The sequence below is a fragment of the Homo sapiens genome, chromosome 21 (assembly GCF_000001405.40).
Source record: "Homo sapiens chromosome 21, GRCh38.p14 Primary Assembly".
In the NCBI taxonomy this organism is placed as follows: Eukaryota; Metazoa; Chordata; class Mammalia; order Primates; family Hominidae; genus Homo; species Homo sapiens.
In genome coordinates, this window is record NC_000021.9 from 33,055,997 (window position 1) to 33,075,227 (window position 19,231).

At 49.7% G+C, this 19,231-nt stretch overlaps 1 protein-coding gene and 1 long non-coding RNA gene across 2 annotated transcripts; both read left to right on the forward strand.

The window, feature by feature from the left end:
* The first annotated feature begins 1,832 nt into the window (after positions 1-1,832).
* On the forward strand, positions 1,833-9,083 carry LINC00945 (long intergenic non-protein coding RNA 945). Its single transcript, NR_104056.1, has 5 exons — positions 1,833-1,902; positions 2,105-2,208; positions 6,796-6,820; positions 8,280-8,452; positions 8,607-9,083. It is a non-coding gene; the product is annotated as a long intergenic non-protein coding RNA 945 (long non-coding RNA).
* A 5,061-nt stretch (positions 9,084-14,144) lies between these two features.
* OLIG1 (oligodendrocyte transcription factor 1) lies at positions 14,145-16,417 on the forward strand. The gene has a single exon (NM_138983.3). It carries the CDS (start codon positions 14,251-14,253, stop codon positions 15,064-15,066), a length of 816 nt encoding a protein of 271 aa, NP_620450.2. The 5' UTR covers positions 14,145-14,250; the 3' UTR covers positions 15,067-16,417.
* Positions 16,418-19,231: the final 2,814 nt, after the last annotated feature.

The window sequence follows — 19,231 nt, forward strand, 5'->3', positions numbered from 1 at the left end:
CATTCCCCCCGGGGACTTAATTCTCAGCCACATGAGAGTACTGGCAATGGATGAACATGGATGGCACCATCTAGCCAAGGATGGAAAATTCTCCCTGCGCAAATGTGAACAAAAGCAGTTTGCAGTATGTAAGCAATTGCTCAAGGCTGATAACAGCCTCAGGGGGAAGTCCAACATGAGAAAGCAGAGGGTGCCTGGTCTCCACGGACTCTTAGTGGGCATTTGTGCACATCTAGCAGAGGAGAACGGAGGATCTGACAGCCTTTGTGCAGCAGGCTGGAGTTGAGCTCCCTCGGGATTTGCATCTGGTGATAAATGGAGGCTGGCTGCACATGAACACTGTCTGTCTGAGGCTGTGCAGTAACCCCAAAAGGACAGTGGTGGACAGGATTCCCCTCAAATGGGAAAAGATAAACAGGAAGTGTGGGGTGGGGTATTGGAGTCTGTTATGTCCGCTGTGGACGTTTTGTTTCCCCAAGGTCAAGATGCCTCTATAAAAGATGTGTGGTTGGCCAAGCATGGAGGCTCATGCCTATAATCCTAGCACTTTGGGAGGCCGAGGCCGGGGCCGGAGGATTGCTTGAGGCCAGGAGTTTGAGACTAGCCTGGGCAACATAGTGAGACCCTCATCTCTATGGAAAATAAAAAATAAAGATGTGTGGCAGAGATTTTCTCTTTATGCAGCCAAACAAAATCCATGGCTGGATTTTCATTCATTCAACAAGTACTTATCCTGGACTTTATATGTCCCAGGCAGAGTCCTAGGCCCTGGGGACAAAAATATTTACAATATAATTTTAGGCTGGAAAAAAAGCAAAGCTTATAGGGAAAAGGATGGTTACTACATGGATATTGGGGCAGGGAAGGCAGCTCAGATAAGATGACTTTGGAGGAGAAACCTGGAGAAGTGTGTATACCCTGAGGCTCCACAGGACAGGTGCTCCAAGGACAGAAAACTGCAAGAGCAATGGTACAGAGGCAGGAACGAGGCTGGGGTATTGCAGAAAGGTCCATGGGGCCTGTGCAGTTGGAGCAAGGTAACTGCAGGGCTGGGGCTGGGAGCGGGGATGGAGAAGGGGCAGGACAGGGAGTCTGAGAGGCAGACAGACCCTCCCCCCACTCCACCCCTGTGCAGTCTCAGGGCCTCTCTCTCTCTCTCTCTCTCAGTGTAGCCCCAAGCAAGACCGTCCAACTTCTAATATGGCCACTGCTTCCAAAAACCCAAAAGCTCAGGGGTCAGGTTGGGTAGAATCTTTTGGGCCCTTGGATTTAATCCTCAGTATGTTAGAAAGCTACAAAGGCTTTCAAGAGAGAACAGACAACCTGCCTGGTTTACATTTTGTTTGGAGTTGAAGCCAGGGTGGTCTCCTCCTATGCATATTAGCGGAAGCTTGGACACTGGTCATTTATCCAGAAGAAAGTAAAAACTGAAGGGTCAAATGAGGCTACTCCGAATATTGTGAGACCTAGGAGAAAGAAGAGAAATAAGGCCCCATGGCCTGTATCCCGTCCCTCTCCTCTCCGCATCCCCAGCTCCGTCTTGTGCTGCGGGCCTCGTGCACGTGCACAGGATGGGGGCAAGCTCTGGGTGGACTGGTCCCCATGGCCCTGAGTACTCCTCACCCATGGAAAGGGGCACAGCCAGTCGGGGCCCGAGTGGAGCCTCTGCAGTCCAGGCCCAGGGCAGGTGGCTGAGTCGGAGCATCCAGGGGCAGCTCTAATTCCAACCATGACCACAGAGAACAGGAGGCACCAGGCATCCACTGTCAGTCTGTAATCAGGATGATCAGTGCATTCCCCACTCAGCACACAGTCTCCCACAGACATGCAGCCACGGTGTGGCCTCAGCATCAGGGATATTTGCAACATCCATATGGCTTCCAGAACAAGAGAGCAGGGAGGGTAAGAACAGGGAGCAGTGTGGGAAATGGGTGGGCTCAGAGGCCTGCCCAGGAGTTCTTGGCCAGGGTGGAGAACCCATCTGCAGTACAGTGCTGGGGGAGGCCAGGGAAGGAGGCTGGGTGTGAACATCCAAAGAGCCTGCAGAGTGGGCACAATATGGGCTGTCGCCAGCTCACGATGCCTCCCTTTCTCTGGGCTGCAGTCGGCATCTACGATTAATAAGACATAGAGAAGTCATTCACCAGAAGTCCTCTTAGAAAAAGCAGTGCTTTTGACTGGAAAAGAATGATGAGTTGCAAAAGTATGGTAAGTTAAAAATGCATCTTCGGAAGAGGGTGAGTTCTGTTAGCGGGTGGGCAGGGGGATGGAGCTGGGGGCTGGGGCCAGGATTGTGCTGAATTAATATGTGTAATAATGCAGGGAGGAGCCAGAGAGATTGGAAAGGTAAAAGGGTGGAAAGAGAGCAAAACTTAACATGGGTAGTGGATGCTGGAGAAAGACGTGAATGGGGAGTTGGAGTTGTCTGTTGAGTGTATTGTTTACAGTGCAAACCTCCAGAGGCCCATGAAGGGATCCTGAACCTACACTACTGCAGATGGGCTGAGAGGCGGCATAAAGGCGGGGCTGGGGAGTGACAGAAAAAAGTTGTATCCCGAGAGCATCCCAGCGAGCCTCTCCAGCAGCAGCAATCCCCCTGTGCCCCATTGGGTTCCACCAGCTCAGAGCAGGCAGGGCCTGAAACAGATGAAACCAAGAAGCAGCCAGTGATGGGTGACCCAGCCAGCTGGAACCCAGCCCAGGGCAGGAGGCACCAGGAATCTCCTGTCCTTGGCAGAGACGCGGTTTTGATCCAGGCTAATACTGACTTCTGATACTCTCAGCAGCGCAGAATTTTAGACCTGAAGAGTGACAGCCACCTCAGTTCTTCCCTTTGATAAAGGGCACATGAATTCTGCTCTGTTGGCAAGAGTCCAACAATGCAGGCGAGTCCCTGATCTGGTAAAGCAAAGAAAACTTGCCCTAAACACTCTACAGAACTTAAAAGCATCCACCACTCAAATTGGGAAGAATCACAGGAGTTAATAATGGTGTTATTGCTCTTCTTAAATGTTATTAATAGTGATATAATACTTCCTGTCTCCTCATTTGGAGACAAGCAGCTGCCATGCGCCAGGATAATGAAGGTCATAATAGGGGAGGAAGGAGCATGAAATTGACTCTGACCTTAGTCTCCATGCAATGTGGGAAGCAGTGCCAGTTGCCACAGCTGCACCGCTTTCCCTCCCATCAGCGGGGAGTTGACGGAAGGCCAAGCCCACCCTGGGGAGATTCTAGAATATTCTAGCACCATGAGGCTGGACCGCATCCCAACCTGGCAAGAAAATTCTGGTGATCAAGAGATCATCATTCTGCAAACTTCCTGGGAAGGCTTTTCTGATCAAAGAACTGCGGGTGTCCAATCCTGCACACATGTTAACATGTACGAGCACTGAGGCAAGAGGCACAGTATGAGAGACTCAGAGAACAATTCTTTCCTGTCTGTTTAGCCAGGGCTCTGCATCAAGTGTTACTGGGCTGGCCTCAGCTTCCTCATCTGCAAAACGAACAGTTGTCTGCCCAGCCCCATAGGAGTTCTGTAAGGCTAAAATGAGATAACAGATGTGAAGGTGGTTTACAAAAAATAAGTGTGGGGCTATTCCTCTGCAGGGAACATCTCTATCACAGCTGGTTAGAGGTGACCACAGACCTCTGCTGCAGAGCATGCACCCACAAACCTGGACTTCAAAGCAGCCTCTTTTGCTGAGCTAGCTCTGCCCCTGCCCAACTCCTGTTGGGCAATCTCAGGTTGCAACATTTCTGAAAACACATTCTGACTGATTGACAGACCAGAGGAAGGCAATGCACCAGTGTCTCAATCCTTCTAGAAACTGCTATTAAAAACAGAAGACTGCAGGGAGGGTGCAGATCACAGTGGCTGTGGCTGGGGAATTTTCCCTATTTTACCCCTTCCTTTCCCCCATCCTCCTCACTTGTCCTTCCATCCTGTTCCCGTTCTCTATTCCATACATAATGGTCTCATTACTCCGCCTCTCTGCCTGTCCCTTTCTTGACCCCCCAACCCACCCATTCCTTGTGCTTATCAAACCCCCTCTAAGACACTTCAGCTGCCAGCAAACTCTCCGTCACCCAACCCTCAAAAGTAAAGCCTTGCTGTCCTCCAAACTGTGGTCCTCAGACCAAAGCATCAGTACCACCTGGGCACCTTATCAAAATGAAGAACCTTGGGCTCCACCCCGACCCACTGAACCAGACTCCAGACTTTGCATTTTAATAAGATCTACTAGTGCATATGTGTGCTCAGGTCTACAGCAGCTCCGATGACCTCCCCTAGCTCTAACACACAGGCTTCACCCCTCGTCCATACCACTGTTGGCCTTTCTTGGTAACCTGATATTGCTAGGCAGACGTTCACGTAGGCATCCTTCATATCCCCAAACAGATTACAAATGATTAGAAGGCAGGGAATCCACACTTTCTCCAAGGGCCTAGAACAGGGCTCTGCACCATAGTAGATGACTGACCAAAGACCCCTGAATGGGTCAGAGGACTTTGATCAGTCAGTCTAGATTCATCCTCTTCACTCATTCATCCAAGTCTTTATTAAGCAGCTACTCAGGGACCAGCCCTGTCCAAGCACTGGGGATCCAGCTGAGAGCAGGGCTTTCATGGAAGCCTCTAGAGCAGGAGGAACAGTCACATACAAACAAGTAGGCAAGTAGGTGCCGAGGTGGCTTTAGCTGCTGCTGAGTGCCAAGAGGAAAATCAAGCAGGGAGGAGTGGCCACAGAGTAACTGACTGGAGGGTGGCCATTGGGTTGGGTGGTCTGAGAAGGTCTCTGGGGGCTCACATTTTCACTAAGACCTCAACATTGAGAAGACCTGGATGGAGGCTTCAGGCAGAAGGAACAGTTGGAGCCAAGGTCAGACAGAAGAATGGGCTTGGCCTATGTTCCAGGCACATGGCTTCTTCACCCTGCCCCATTCCAGGTAATCACGCACCCACCATGTGTCATCCATCCACCCCCTCTCCCAGGGGCAGGACCAATCCGAGGTCTCAGGCTTCTCCGAATCTGTCCCTGTCGCCAATGAGCAGCCCTCCCGAGAGGTAGGATGTCTGCCCGTGGTTGTTTCCTCATTGTTTTCTCCAAAGCCGACTTTGCTTTTTCTTTAAGCATGGTTGGGCACTCCATCAAATATTCATGTGCCTAAGTGACATGGATATGGAAGGAAGGTTTCTTGTAAAATTCAAATTCAGTCTCATGATCCCTGACGGAACCTGCCGAGGTCGTCTTGACCCTCGCTACTCACTACTTAAAGTGTGGTCCTCTGACCGGCATCAGCTTCATCTGGGAGCTTATTGAAAATACCCCAGGTGTCCTGTTGTGCACCTATGGTCCCAGCTATTCAGGAGGCTGAGGCAGGAGGATCACCTGGGCCTAGGAGTTTGAGGCTGCAGTGAGCTATGAACACATCTATGAATAGTCACAGCACTCCCACCTGGGCAACACAGCAAGACCCCATCTCTAACAGAGAAAAAAGAAAAACAGAATCTCAGCCCCCACTCAAACCCACTGAATGAGAATCTGCACTTGAACAAGACCCCCAGGTAATCTGACCTAGAACAGAGTTCTGCCTTCAGACTCAAGGTCCCCAGAAATCACCAAAACAAGCTACACAGAACAGTGAACATGATGGTTAGCCAGATATGCATCGGATCCTTGCTTTAAAAATCTCTTGTGAGTTGGGTGTCATTATGAGCTTCGTTTACAGGTGAATTAACTCAGGCACACGGAGGTTGAGTCACTCGCCTGAGTTGATAAACTTGGAAGTGGCAGGGCTAAGTTTGAGCCCTGGAGGGCTCACCGCAGACCTGTGCTCTAACACATAGGAGGAGTGAGGCTCAGAGGCTGTATCTATTTGCCAGGGCTGACATCAACAAAGTACCACAGACTGGGTGGCTTAAACAACAGAGATGTCCTGTCTCCCACTTCTGGAGGCCAGGAGTCCAAGATCAAGGCGTCGGCAGGGCGGGTTCCTCGGAGGCTGTGAGGGACGATCTGCTCCAGGCCCTCCTCAGCGTCTGGGGGTTGCTGGCAATCTTTGAGCTTCCTTGTCTTGCAGGGTCACCCTGATCTCAGTGTCACCTCAATCTCTGCCTTCATCTTCACATGGACTTCTCCCTGTGTGAGTGTCTGTGTTCAAATTCTCCCTTTTATAAGCACACCAGTCATGTTGCATTAGAAACATGGATGAAGCTGGAAACCATCATTCTCAGGAAACTATCGCAAGGACAAAAAACCAAACACCACATGTTCTCACTCATAGGTGGGAATTGAACAATGAGAACACTTGGACAGAGGAGAGGGAACATCACACACCGGGGCCTGTTGTGGGGTGGGGGGAGGGGGGAGGGATAGCATTAGGAGAAATACCTAATGTAAATGACGAGTTAATGGGTGCAGCACACCAACATGGCACATGTATACATATGTAACAAACCTGCACGTTGTGCACACGTACCCTAGAACTTAAAGTATAATAATAATTTAAAAAAAAATTATATATATATATAAAAGAAACCTACCCTAGTGAGCTCATCTTAACTAATCACCTCCGCAATGACCCTATCTCCAAGTAAGGTCACAGTCTGAGGGACTGGGGGTTAAGACTTCAACATGAATTTTGGGGACACAATCAACTCATAACAAGGCTTGGTAAAATGATAATGACAGCTAACGCTGTTCTCACTTTGTTCTCAGTGCTTTACAGATATCACCTCACTCAATCACCACCCTCCTAGGAGATTAATTCGATTTTTATTCTTGTTTTGCAGATAGAGGAAACTGAGGTACTGACAGGTAAGCATCTTTCCCAAGTCACATGGTTAATAAATGAGGCAGCCAGGATTCCAACCCGCGTAGCCCAACATCAAAGCTGGCATGACAGCTTTCTCTCTCCAAGGGTGTCTAGCATCACACTGAGCTCCCATCTCTGCAACTTTTCTTTTCTTTTCTTTCCTTCCTTCCTTCCTTCCTTCCTTTCTTTCTCTCTCTTTCTTACTTTTTTTTTTTTTGAAGGAGTTTCACTCTTGTTGCCCAAGCTGGAGTGCAATGGTGTGATCTCGGCTCACTGCAACCTCCACCTCCCAGGTTCAAGCGATTCTCTTGCCTCAGCCTCCTGAGTAGCTAGGATTACAGGCACCCGCCACCACGCCCAGCTAATTTTGTATTTTTAGTAGAGACAGGGTTTCACCATGTTGGCCAGGCTGGTCTTGAACTCCTGACCTCAGGTGATCCGCCTGCCTTGGCCTCCCAAAGTGCTGGGATTACAGGCGTGAGCCACTGCGCCCAGCTACAATTTCTTTAGCAAGTTGTTGCTGGATTTTGGCTTAGTGTGTCCAGGACAGCATCCCTGAAACAGGGTCATATGAGTGGAACATCCTGGGTATTCAGCGAGCCCAGGGACAGAAGGGGCTGGAAACCGCATATGCTGGATGCAGAGAAGGCACACACTTACACAAATAGAGCTGGGACACTGTGTTAGTCTGAATGGAAACCATAAATGAAGTAAGTGACAGGGCTCAGTTGGAGCCCCAAGGGTCTAACCACAGACTCTGCACTCTAATATGTGGGAGGAGTCAGGCTCAGAGGTTGTATTAGCTGTAGTGCCTGGCATATTGCAAGCACTCGATAAACATTAGCTACTGTTAATCATTTTACTGAGATACTGCTATGTGCCAGGCTCTGGGTGGGACATCTCACTTACATTTCTTTCTTTTCCTTTCTCTCTCTCTCTTTTTCAGACAGGGTCTTGCTCTCTTGCCCAGGCTGGAGTGTAATGGTGTGATCATGACTCACTGCATCCTCCGCTTCCCGGGCTCCAGCAATCCTCCCACCCCAGCCTCCCAAGCAGTTGCACACCACCACACCTGGCTGATTTTTGTATTTTTCCTAGAGATGGGTTTTCGCCATTTGCCCAGGCTGATCTCGAACCCCTGACCTCAAGCAATCCACCCACCTTGGCCTCCCAAAGTGCTAGGATTACAGGGGTGAGCCACTGCTCCTGGCCCTCTCTTACATTTCCTTCTCAACTGTACAACAACCCTAGGAGATAAATACTATTACTCCCATTTTAGAGATGAGGAAACTGAGGCTCAGATGAGTATAGCTGCTGTTATCCCCAATCTGGGGATCAGGACTCTTCTTTGTAAGACATAAACAGTCCATGTCTTTGAGCAGAAAAGCCTTAGAATATTGCAGGGAAGAAGATTTGCATGTTCAACTCGGATAGTCCTCACCACTGAGTTAATATTTCCAGGTCAGAGCGCCTCCGAGAGAAAAAGGCGGTGGCCTTGGAGCTCTGGTCTCCTTAACTGCACCCTGGGAAGTCTTCACACGGCCTTTCTTCCCCTGGTGGTCTAATCTGGAGTCAGATCCAGCCGTCAGCTCTTACAGACGGGGAAGGACCGGGAGCCAACGGGAAAACAACAGGTGAGCTTGTGAACAAGTCCCCTTCTGTGTCTCGGGCAGGGTGTCTGCCCGGGCAACTGTGGGGCTGCACTGACTTCCAGAACCTTCTGCCTCTGCAGGTGTTTTAGGAACTTGGCCTCAGCGCTTCAGTGACCCATATTTTATTACCTTTCAGGTTTCTATAATTCATCATTCACTCCTTTCTGAAAACCTAGAATGAAAAAGTTTAGCAGCTCAGCGCCGCGGCCTCTCTCCATTCTCTCCCCAAACACATCGGCCTGTTTGTTCTCTTTCATCCCCGCTCTTCCTGTTGCATTCTGCCGGTTCAATGGGGAAGGAGTGAAACCGGATGGCTGGACCCAGTGCGGGGAAATGACTTCAGAGCCACCTTTGTTTCCCTCATTCCTTTGAGCGCACTTGGCCCTGCGTCTCTATGAAAGGGCTTGTTTGAACCATTCGGAACATCCAGCAAGCCAGAGATGCTGCGGCCAGAACCGCTCGCATCTTTTCAGGCTGCCTGAGACTCTGGGTTAAACTGCCAAATTTTTGCAACAAAACTAACCATGACATTGGACATTGTGTTATAAATTAGCCACAGCCTTCCAAGCAAATTGTCTCTTTTTATTGTATCAGTGTAAGCCTCGGAAACATTTGGCTTCAGCTACTACCTTCAGGGAGGCTCAGAGGATATTTTTGTTCTGCCCCAAACCAACTCTTCAGACACCGAGTTGCATGTGCTAATACCCATATCTTCATTCACAGTTATTCTTATCACACTCCCTCTGAGAACCTCTGTCAGTTATGTTCTATTTCTCTGCCTCCCATCCACCAACCTGCTTTCAAGTTTTGATGTGGCAGAAACTCTCTGAACATCTATAAAACAAACGATGCATTTCTCTTTTAGAATGCATTTCACAATGATTACGTGAAACTTCTTGTAAAGAATAGTTCTTTTCACATATACAGTCAGAGATATTAAAATGCATGTTTATTAGCAATGTGTAGAATTTTATTGTTTGGTGCTCACAGAAGCAATGTAAATTTCCACATCTGTTAGGTCACTCTGAGAGTGTATGTGTTGTGTGGGGAGAGAGGGCATGCCCATCTGTTTGAGCTATGTCACCAAAATCTATATCAAGATTTTTAATTAGGCTGAGAGTGGTGGTTCACGCCTGTAATCGCAGCACTTTGGAGGCCAAGGTGGGCAGATCACTTCAGGTCAGGAGTTCGAGACCAGCCTGGCCAACATGGTGAAACCCTGTCTCTACTAAAAATACAAAAAATTAGCTGGGTGTGGTGGCACATACCTGTAATCCCAGCTACTCGGAAGGCTGAGGCACAAGAATCATTTGAACCTGGGGGGCGGAGGTTGCAGTGAGTGAGATCACACCACTGCACTCCAGCCTGGGTTTCAGAGTGAGATTCTGTTTCAGGAAAAAAAAAAAAGAGAAAAAAACACTTTTAATTAAAAGGAAACCCCCAAAATACACAGTTGATAATTTATTTTCCTATTTTTTTCTTCACACACACACACACACACACACACACACACACGCATCACAAGACAAATTTAGGCTCAGAAATAACCTTAAGTAATAAGCTGTATTAAGCCACAATGCCATTTATTAAAAATAAAATAAACCTTCTTATAATATTTGCAAAACACAACCCATGACATTCGATAATCTTGAGTGTTGTCATCAGAACCAAGAACACTGTATAACTGCCTATGTCCTTCCACATTGGAAATAAAGACAACTATGACAACTATATTGCATTGTACACAACAACTACACAACATTGTAAGCAACAATAAACATTGTGTCAGTTTACAACAACTTGTTTAACTTGTATTCTCTGTCAAAGTGAACAAAACTCATTTTCTTTCACATTTTCCCAGCAGGAATCTTTATTTAACCTGAACTGCTTCTAAGTGTGACTGAGACTCTGGTGAGCTGGTCCCAGATGAGATGGGATCAAGCATCCCCAAGGAGTCCTCCCTGTCCAAGAACAACTACCGAAGGGTAATCCATTTACTCTTCCCCAATTTTCTCTCTCTACTACTACTCTCCTCTACCCAGAAAGGAGAAATGTAGAACAAAGCTAAGGGCTACTCGCTTTGCAGCTCCTTCCCTGACCTTTGTGTTCCAGGAAGAGTTATATTTGGATGGGATGGGGGCACCTGATATAGGGCAAACAACGGACAAGGCTTCCGCTTCTCCTAGAGACAGTGTAAATATCAACACCTACTGGGTAATTTAAACTTTCCAAAGAATATTGACCTTCTTAGAAGTAAGTAGCACTTTAAAAAGTGAACTTCATTATTCCATTAGAGGTCTAAGCTCTAGCCAGTTAAGCAGCACATTTTAGCAGCTGTTTACACTCTGCTGGCCTTCTGCAAGAGGACGGTTTCATGCAGGACAACAGGGGGCTTCACAGCAGTACACCCCATCTTTGTTCTTACAGAGGAGAAGGATGGTGCTACATCTGAAACACACTCACACATCACTGAGGCTTTGAGTCCCCAGTGTCTGCCATTTCCAAGGTCCAAGCTTCTTGACCCAAAGCAAGAGTAGATGGCAGGGACAGGGGAATGCGCAGGAGACACTAGGTTTCTACACAAGGAAAAGGAAATCTGAGGCACACACCTCTGCAGAGTGAAAGGAATCACCAACACACACACACAAGCCCCTTTAGGCAAAGAAAAGAGCGGTTGTTATGGTGGACACAAGTTGCTCCCCAAGCATGTCCTCAATGTGGGAGGCCGCAGCAGCTGCCTCCCCTTGAGACAGACCCCGGGGCCCGTGCCAGCGGCCACAGTAACTGGCTGGCCCTTGCCAGCTGTCACACTTTGCATGCCGCTGCTTCAGCCCAGCACAAGGGACCATCCAAGTCACCAGCTCCAACCAGTCCCAAATCCCGTGCCCAGGCTGGAGCTGGATGGCCACCCAGAACCCTCTTCTGAGGCCCTCTACCAAGGCACTGAAATATGCAGCATATCCAGTTGACAGTATCCTTGGCTGGGGGAGAGATAAGTCTTACAAGGAGGAGATAAGGTGAGACTTAGGTCTAAAGAAAACCCTCAGGGACACCCACAGGAAAGAGGGGTGCTTCTAGAGGGGAAAGGCAGCATGTGTGTGTTTCCATCTGTTTGACTCCTGGGTGCCCCTTCCTGTGGGTGGGAAATGGGGAGCGTACAAGTTAGGCAACAGGCCAAGGCTTTAGATTTTATCTTCCCCATTCACTTCCTCTTTCTGCTGGCAGGGTAAGACCCTACGGGCCCCACCTAGGCTGTGTGCAGGGGAGGAAGCCGGAGGGGGATGTCACCAGGGCCTGCCCCAATCTGGCACCTCAGCTACAGGACAGAGGGTCCTGACAGTGAGGGTGGGCATTGCCGAAGAGGCTGGAGCAGGGTTTATGGTGGCAGGATTCTGGGGACACTCTCTTGGGGAACATGGCTGGAACCCACCAACTCATCAATATTGGCACAGTCTAGGCTGGCCCCTCCATCCTTACACCCAATCCCCAACCCGCCCCATCATGGCCCCCTCCTGGGCTTCCTGGAAGCCTGGTTCTGCTGGAGGGAATTCAGGAAGCCAGTCCTTGGTGGGGCCGCTCTGCCTGTCCTGTCTGAAGGCACAGAGCAATCTACTGCCTTCTGGGAGCCTCAGTTATATCATGGACATCAAGGGATCAAAAATGCCCAGCTCACAGGGGCCCCATGAGAACCAAACGTGAAAGTGTCTGTAAAAATGACTTGAAAGCAAGCTGCTTCAACAGAAGGCGAAATGATTAGTGAGGTGTTAAACTTAATTGCTTGAAACATTCAAGACCCTTCCCTTGGTCTCTCTCTCTCCTTCCTGCTTAGTATGGTTCTGCTTAAGCACTCAGCTCCTTCCTACCAAGGCTTCCCTCTCTCTCCCAAAGTGGGGCCCCCAGCACCACGTCCATGTCAGGCCAGGCCCCTCTGAGAGGCAGGAGATCTTACCAGGTTCCTTCCCTCTCTATAAAACCTTTAGGAAAATGCTTGGGTTAGAGCATTGCCAGGAGTTTGTGCATTTAAGGGATGAGCCTCTGAGCTAAGGGAGATTTCAGACCATCTTTAGAGACCTCCAGGACACACAGTAAGTGCCAAGCACTGTGCTAGGCTTCAGGAAGATGGAGAAATGAGCAGGTGGTCCCTACCGTAAAACAATCATAGCCAAATGCAGAGATGGTATCTACATAACACAATAGGCTATGAAGAAATCCTATCAATGGTTTGCCAAGAGTCATGAAAGGAGGAAGAGGAGAAATCACCAAGGCTTCCAGAAGAAAGCAAGGTTGGAGCTGAACCTGAGGCATAGGCAGGATGCTACAGGCAGAGCTGGGGGTCAGAAGCAAAGATCAGAGTGAACCCATGTGGCAAATATTGGTGGAAGAAAACCAGAACAAAGCAGCCCTGAAACCAGCAAGCACAGCCACCAAGATGCCCTCTTCCCCAGGACATTGACAAGTTATAGTAGCATGCACTGGTGCTGGGGGCAGAAAATGTCCATAGACACCAAGTAATGCTATTCTATTTGGCAAATAAAATGATTCATTCCCACCCTCAACCGATAGGACTATGTGGGTGTTTTGTTTTGTTTCTAATAAGAGGCCAATTTCTGAGTGACTTTTGCTTAAGCAAATGTCAAGTTGCTGATAGACCATCCCTTTCGGGGAGGATAGAAACCCGACCCAAAGGCTCCTTTGTCCCTAAAGACCTTTCAATCAGAGGGATGGGGAAGGAGGTTGGGAGCAGCAGGGAGGAAATATCCTAATGCTACTTGTCATTTAGTCCAGAAATTTAGCGACCTGAACCTGGCAGGAAATTATGTATTTTAAGAAAAAAAAAACATGATACACTCATGTTCATAGCAGCATAATTCGCAACAACCAAAAGCACCCCAAATGTCCATCAACGAATGAATGGATAAACCAAATGTGGTATATCCATATACTGGAATATTATTCAGCCTTGAAAAGGAAGAAACTTTGATACATGCTACAACATGGATAAACCTTGACGACAATATGCTAAGTGAAAGAAGCCAGTCACTAAAAGACAAGTGCTGTATGATTCTACTTATATGAGGGACCTAGAGTAGAACAAATTCATAGAGACAGAACAGAAGAGTGAATTCCAGGAACTTGGGTCGGGGGGAGTGGGGAGTTGTTTAATGGGTGGAGCTTCAGGGTTGCAAGTTGAAAAGAGTTCTGGAGATGGGTTGCACAACAATGTGAATTTAATTTAAATCAATTTAATGTGCACACTAATGCATATAACATTACTGAACAGTACTCTAAACATAAGACGGTAAATTTTATGTTATGAATATGTGATCACAGTTAAAAAAAAATATGAGGGAGGTTGTTTTTGAGTAGACAGTTGCTGGAGGAAGGCACGTGAGTTGCAGCCTGACCAGTGCGACCAGTCCTCCTTCAACAGCCCCGCTTGCCTTGAAAAGGCGCCCTTACTCCGCTCAGGGGGCCTGTCCCGCGCGGCTGGCACAGGCGCTCACAATAACCTCCTAAAGCGGTGCCAGCCGCACCTCCGCGCGGCCCCGGCACAAGCAGCCAATGAACACGCGGCTGCGCCCGGCCTCGCGCCTCCATTGGCTGCGCCCCGCCACCCGCTGCCCCGCAGGTTCCCAAGCCGGGTTTAAAGGGGTAGGGCGCGGGCCAGGGCCCCACCATCGTTTCCCCGCGCGCAGGTCCGCGGGGAGGGGCGGCCTGCCGACCGGCCCACCCCAGGGCGTTCCTGAAGGGCGTCCTCGGCCGCCCCCACCGCCTCCCAGATGTACTATGCGGTTTCCCAGGCGCGCGTGAACGCGGTCCCCGGGACCATGCTGCGGCCACAGCGGCCCGGAGACTTGCAGCTCGGGGCCTCCCTCTACGAGCTGGTGGGCTACAGGCAGCCGCCCTCCTCCTCCTCCTCCTCCACCTCCTCCACCTCCTCCACTTCCTCCTCCTCCACGACGGCCCCCCTCCTCCCCAAGGCTGCGCGCGAGAAGCCGGAGGCGCCGGCCGAGCCTCCAGGCCCCGGGCCCGGGTCAGGCGCGCACCCGGGCGGCAGCGCCCGGCCGGACGCCAAGGAGGAGCAGCAGCAGCAGCTGCGGCGCAAGATCAACAGCCGCGAGCGGAAGCGCATGCAGGACCTGAACCTGGCCATGGACGCCCTGCGCGAGGTCATCCTGCCCTACTCAGCGGCGCACTGCCAGGGCGCGCCCGGCCGCAAGCTCTCCAAGATAGCCACGCTGCTGCTCGCCCGCAACTACATCCTACTGCTGGGCAGCTCGCTGCAGGAGCTGCGCCGCGCGCTGGGCGAGGGCGCCGGGCCCGCCGCGCCGCGCCTGCTGCTGGCCGGGCTGCCCCTGCTCGCCGCCGCGCCCGGCTCCGTGCTGCTGGCGCCCGGCGCCGTAGGACCCCCCGACGCGCTGCGCCCCGCCAAGTACCTGTCGCTGGCGCTGGACGAGCCGCCGTGCGGCCAGTTCGCTCTCCCCGGCGGCGGCGCAGGCGGCCCCGGCCTCTGCACCTGCGCCGTGTGCAAGTTCCCGCACCTGGTCCCGGCCAGCCTGGGCCTGGCCGCCGTGCAGGCGCAATTCTCCAAGTGAGGGCGGGCCTGGGCCTGGGGCGCGACCTCGGCCCGGCCTCCCTTCGCTCAGCTTCTCCGCGCCCCTGCTCCCTGCGTCTGGGAGAGCGAGGCCGAGCAAGGAAAGCATTTCGAACCTTCCAGTCCAGAGGAAGGGACTGTCGGGCACCCCCTTCCCCGCCCCCACCCCTGGGACGTTAAAGTGACCAGAGCGGATGTTCGATGGCGCCTCGGGGCAGTTTGGGGTTCTGGGTCGGTTCCAGCGGCTTTAGGCAGAAAGTGCTCGCTCTCACCCAGCACATCTCTCTCCTTGTCCCTGGAGTTGCGCGCTTCGCGGGGCCGATGTAGAACTTAGGGCGCCTTGCCGTGGTTGGCGCGCCCCGGGTGCAGCGAGAGGCCATCCCCGAGCGCTACCTCCCCGGAGCGGAGCACGCCGGCTCCCAGTACTAGGGGCTGCGCTCGAGCAGTGGCGGGGGCGGAGGGGTGGTTCTTTTCCTTCTCCTCCGCCAGAGGCCACGGGCGCCCTTGTTCCCGCCGGCCAGGTCCTATCAAAGGAGGCTGCCGGAACTCAAGAGGCAGAAAAAGACCAGTTAGGCGGTGCAGACGGTCTGGGACGTGGCAGACGGACGGACCCTCGGCGGACAGGTGGTCGGCGTCGGGGTGCGGTGGGTAGGGGCGAGGACAACGCAGGGTGCGCTGGGTTGGGACGTGGGTCCACTTTTGTAGACCAGCTGTTTGGAGAGCTGTATTTAAGACTCGCGTATCCAGTGTTTTGTCGCAGAGAGTTTTCGCTCTTAAATCCTGGGGGTTTCTTAGAAAGCAACTTAGAACTCGAGATTCACCTTTCGTTTCCCTTTCCCCAAAAGTAGCGTAACCAACATTTAAGCTTGCTTAAAAACGAAAACCAACCGCCTTGCATCCAGTGTTCCCGATTTACTAAAATAGGTAACCAGGCGTCTCACAGTCGCCGTCCTGTCAAGAGCGCTAATGAACGTTCTCATTAACACGCAGGAGTACCGGGAGCCCTGAACCGCCCGCTGCTCGGCGGATCCCAGCTGCGGTGGCGACGGCGGGAAGGCGCTTTCCGCTGTTCCTCAGCGGGCCGGGCCCTTGACCAGCGCGGCCCGCAGGTCTTCCTTCTCGCCGTCTTGCAGTTGAAGAGCTACATACGTAGTCAGTTTCGATTTGTTACAGACGTTAACAAATTCCTTTACCCAAGGTTATGCTATGACCTTTCCGCAGTTTACTTTGATTTTCTATGTTTAAGGTTTTGGTTGTTGGTAGTAGCCGAATTTAACTGGCACTTTATTTTACTTCTAACCTTGTTTCCTGACGGTGTACAGAATCAACAAAATAAAACATTTAAAGTCTGATTTTTTACATTTTTTGTCTGATTTGTTTGGTAATAAAAAAGTCCTTGTATCCTAGTGGATTTAGAACCTTGGGGTGAAGGTAGGTAAATGACCGGGGTCCCAGGTTTTAAAATGTGACTTCCTGATTTGTAAAATAATCCAATGAACAGGCAACTGTAGTTCAAGTTCAGGCATTCGTGGGAAATATGAGGATTATAGGTAAGTGGGTGGGTGGGATAGAGAATGGGATAGAGAAGGGAGAGAGGCAATTCCAGGAATTCATTCTTTGCCAAGCTTCAGGCATAGGTCTTTTTTAACTACAACTTCATCCCCTGGAAAATGGGTTAAGCAATACCTTTATCATAAAATTGTAGCTCAACATCCTTCCAGGATATCCACCTTTTCTATATCCTTGGACAGAAGCTTAATACCACACAAGCATGAGCTTCCCGCTGCTGCACCCACCTACCCCTTATCATTTAAATCAGGTTGGAATTGTCTTCACCTAAGAGGTGAAGAAAGCTCTTCTGTCTGTTTGGTGCTCTTAAAAAGAATTTGGAAGGCTGACCTGCTCACATTGCAATAATGAAACACTGCATAATTATTAATGAAACCCAACCACTGTTTAATGTAGGGGAGTAGTAGAGAAGTAGTGTCCCCTTTAACCTGAGGAAAATTAAAGAAAACCCAGAGATGACTTACTCAATTTTATCCATGTTGGTTTATCTGAGGCATATACACATTTAGAGAAAATGAGCACCACTTTGGAGGTGGGGGAAGGAGGTGGGAGGTGGCTGGAGAGATGGCATTGCCCGGCTACCATGCTGTGTCTATTTCCTTAAGGAGAAGTCAGGACAGGGCATGGGAGAAGGTGCTCTGTGCACCAACTCATTCCAAAAGAGGATTTCTCATGCTTCCTAGACTCTGCCACCAGCAAAGTCACCACTTTTATAAAAAGTAGATTTGAACTCTGGCCTTCTGTTTATTCAATGCCTTTCCTTGCTTACCTTATATCTTGGCAAGGGGTAGGGGAAAAAAGTGAAAATCAATGAAATCAAAAGCAAATTAGGTTCTCCTTGAAACAAAAATACTTCTAAGGGATTAGAAACAAACAATTTCTCCCACTGTCCAACACCAGCACCTAGATGCCACTGTCATTCCAGACATCATCTCTAAAAGGAGCCCAAAGCTACAGGGCAGAAAATGGGTCTGCCCTTCTCTACCTGTAAATGGGAACAAGCCGCCCATGCCTTATAGGAAAAGTAACACTATATGTGTATGATTTTTTTTTTATTTAACTAAGAAAATCACAGCCTATCATGCTTTTCAGAAGGGCCAAAGGCTATAAATAAATTTAACAAGGACACACGGGGCTGTTTTGGGTGCCATCAAAATACTTATCTGCCTGCACGTAGCGTGCTTTTGGCCGTTGTGCCAAGCAAGATTAGCAGACTTGCTCTATAGAAGGAGTTTACATCCTAAAAAATAGTACCAGCAAGCATTGAAGAGTCCTGTAGGATGAAACAGATAAAAGGTAATTATATACAGTGTCCACAATGCAAAGTCAGACTGCTCAACATCTGTCTATGGCAGGGCAGTGTATTCTGCATGCAGAGTTTAAGCTTAGACATGTGTGTTCTAGAGCATGGAGCTGCTTTTAGAAATGTTCAGTGCTATGTCACGCCAGCAAAGGAGCTAGCTGAATTGTCCACCATACTTGATTTTAGCTGGAGTGGGCTTTGTTCAGAAGGAACAAGTGTAAGCTAGCCTTTGAAGGGTTTGGGACAGCTGGGAGGGTCTTAGTAAGGTTCCTCAAGAAAGGCACTCTAAGAGCTCAGAAGCAAGATGAGAAGGAACCCACGGCTCACTGCCAAAAAAGTTCCCTGCATCCAGCCAACCACCAAAGTGAGGTCCTGGCAATTAGAGTAAACTGAACCTAATGGGAAAATACACAAGGCCCTGAGAAATTATATTGTTATATATATTGGAGTCCAGGTGAGCAATCAGTAGACAGAGGGCAGAATCAATACACGATGGGATTTGCCTAGCCCGCAGTGATGGTCTACTTACAGATGTTCTCCTCTAAGGGAAACTGATGACACTAGACATAAAAATTTAACTTTGTGAAATATACAGCTTAGAGGGTAAGTGGCTGCTTCGAGGAAGAGGCTCCTCTCCAATCATGGAAAATGTTTCCACTTACTGAAGTTTAGAAGATGAACGACAATGCTTCCATCTTGCACTCCACTTTAAGGTGTTTGGTCTTTCCTGAATGCTTAGGTACGCAGGTGAGGCTGGGTACAAGAGAGCCTCAGCCTGCTAACTAGACCCCCTGGAGCCTCCTGTTGTGTTTAGGAAGCCAGCCAGGAAAAAAAGGGGCTTTTCTTTTCTGCCATAGAAGGATACCTGATGAACTTGCCAAGAGCAAGGTGATGGTTGGGAAGAGTCATTCAATTGACACTTTTGCTCCCTGGGTATGCAGTGCATTGACTAGGAAAGTATATTTCCCTCAGAAGGTATTTTCCTGCTTCTTCACTGCCTCTTTTCTCTTCTGCACACACAATAAATATTCAATAAGAAGATTACCACATTCACTGAAGTAGGCTCACAAAGCAATGGGGTGAAAAATGCCATGTTTTTCAAAAACATGAATTCACTTTTCTCCAGCAGATTTTTAGGTGTGGGGAAAGACGTTAGAAATACTGTTTCCAAGTAAGATCCAGTTAACGTGCAAAACTGGAGTAGCAAGATATTCCTCAAAACCTGCACACAAACTAGTCTCGTTATTTATGGAGACATCGGAAAATCATTCTTAAGGCAGTTCCCATTCTGTCA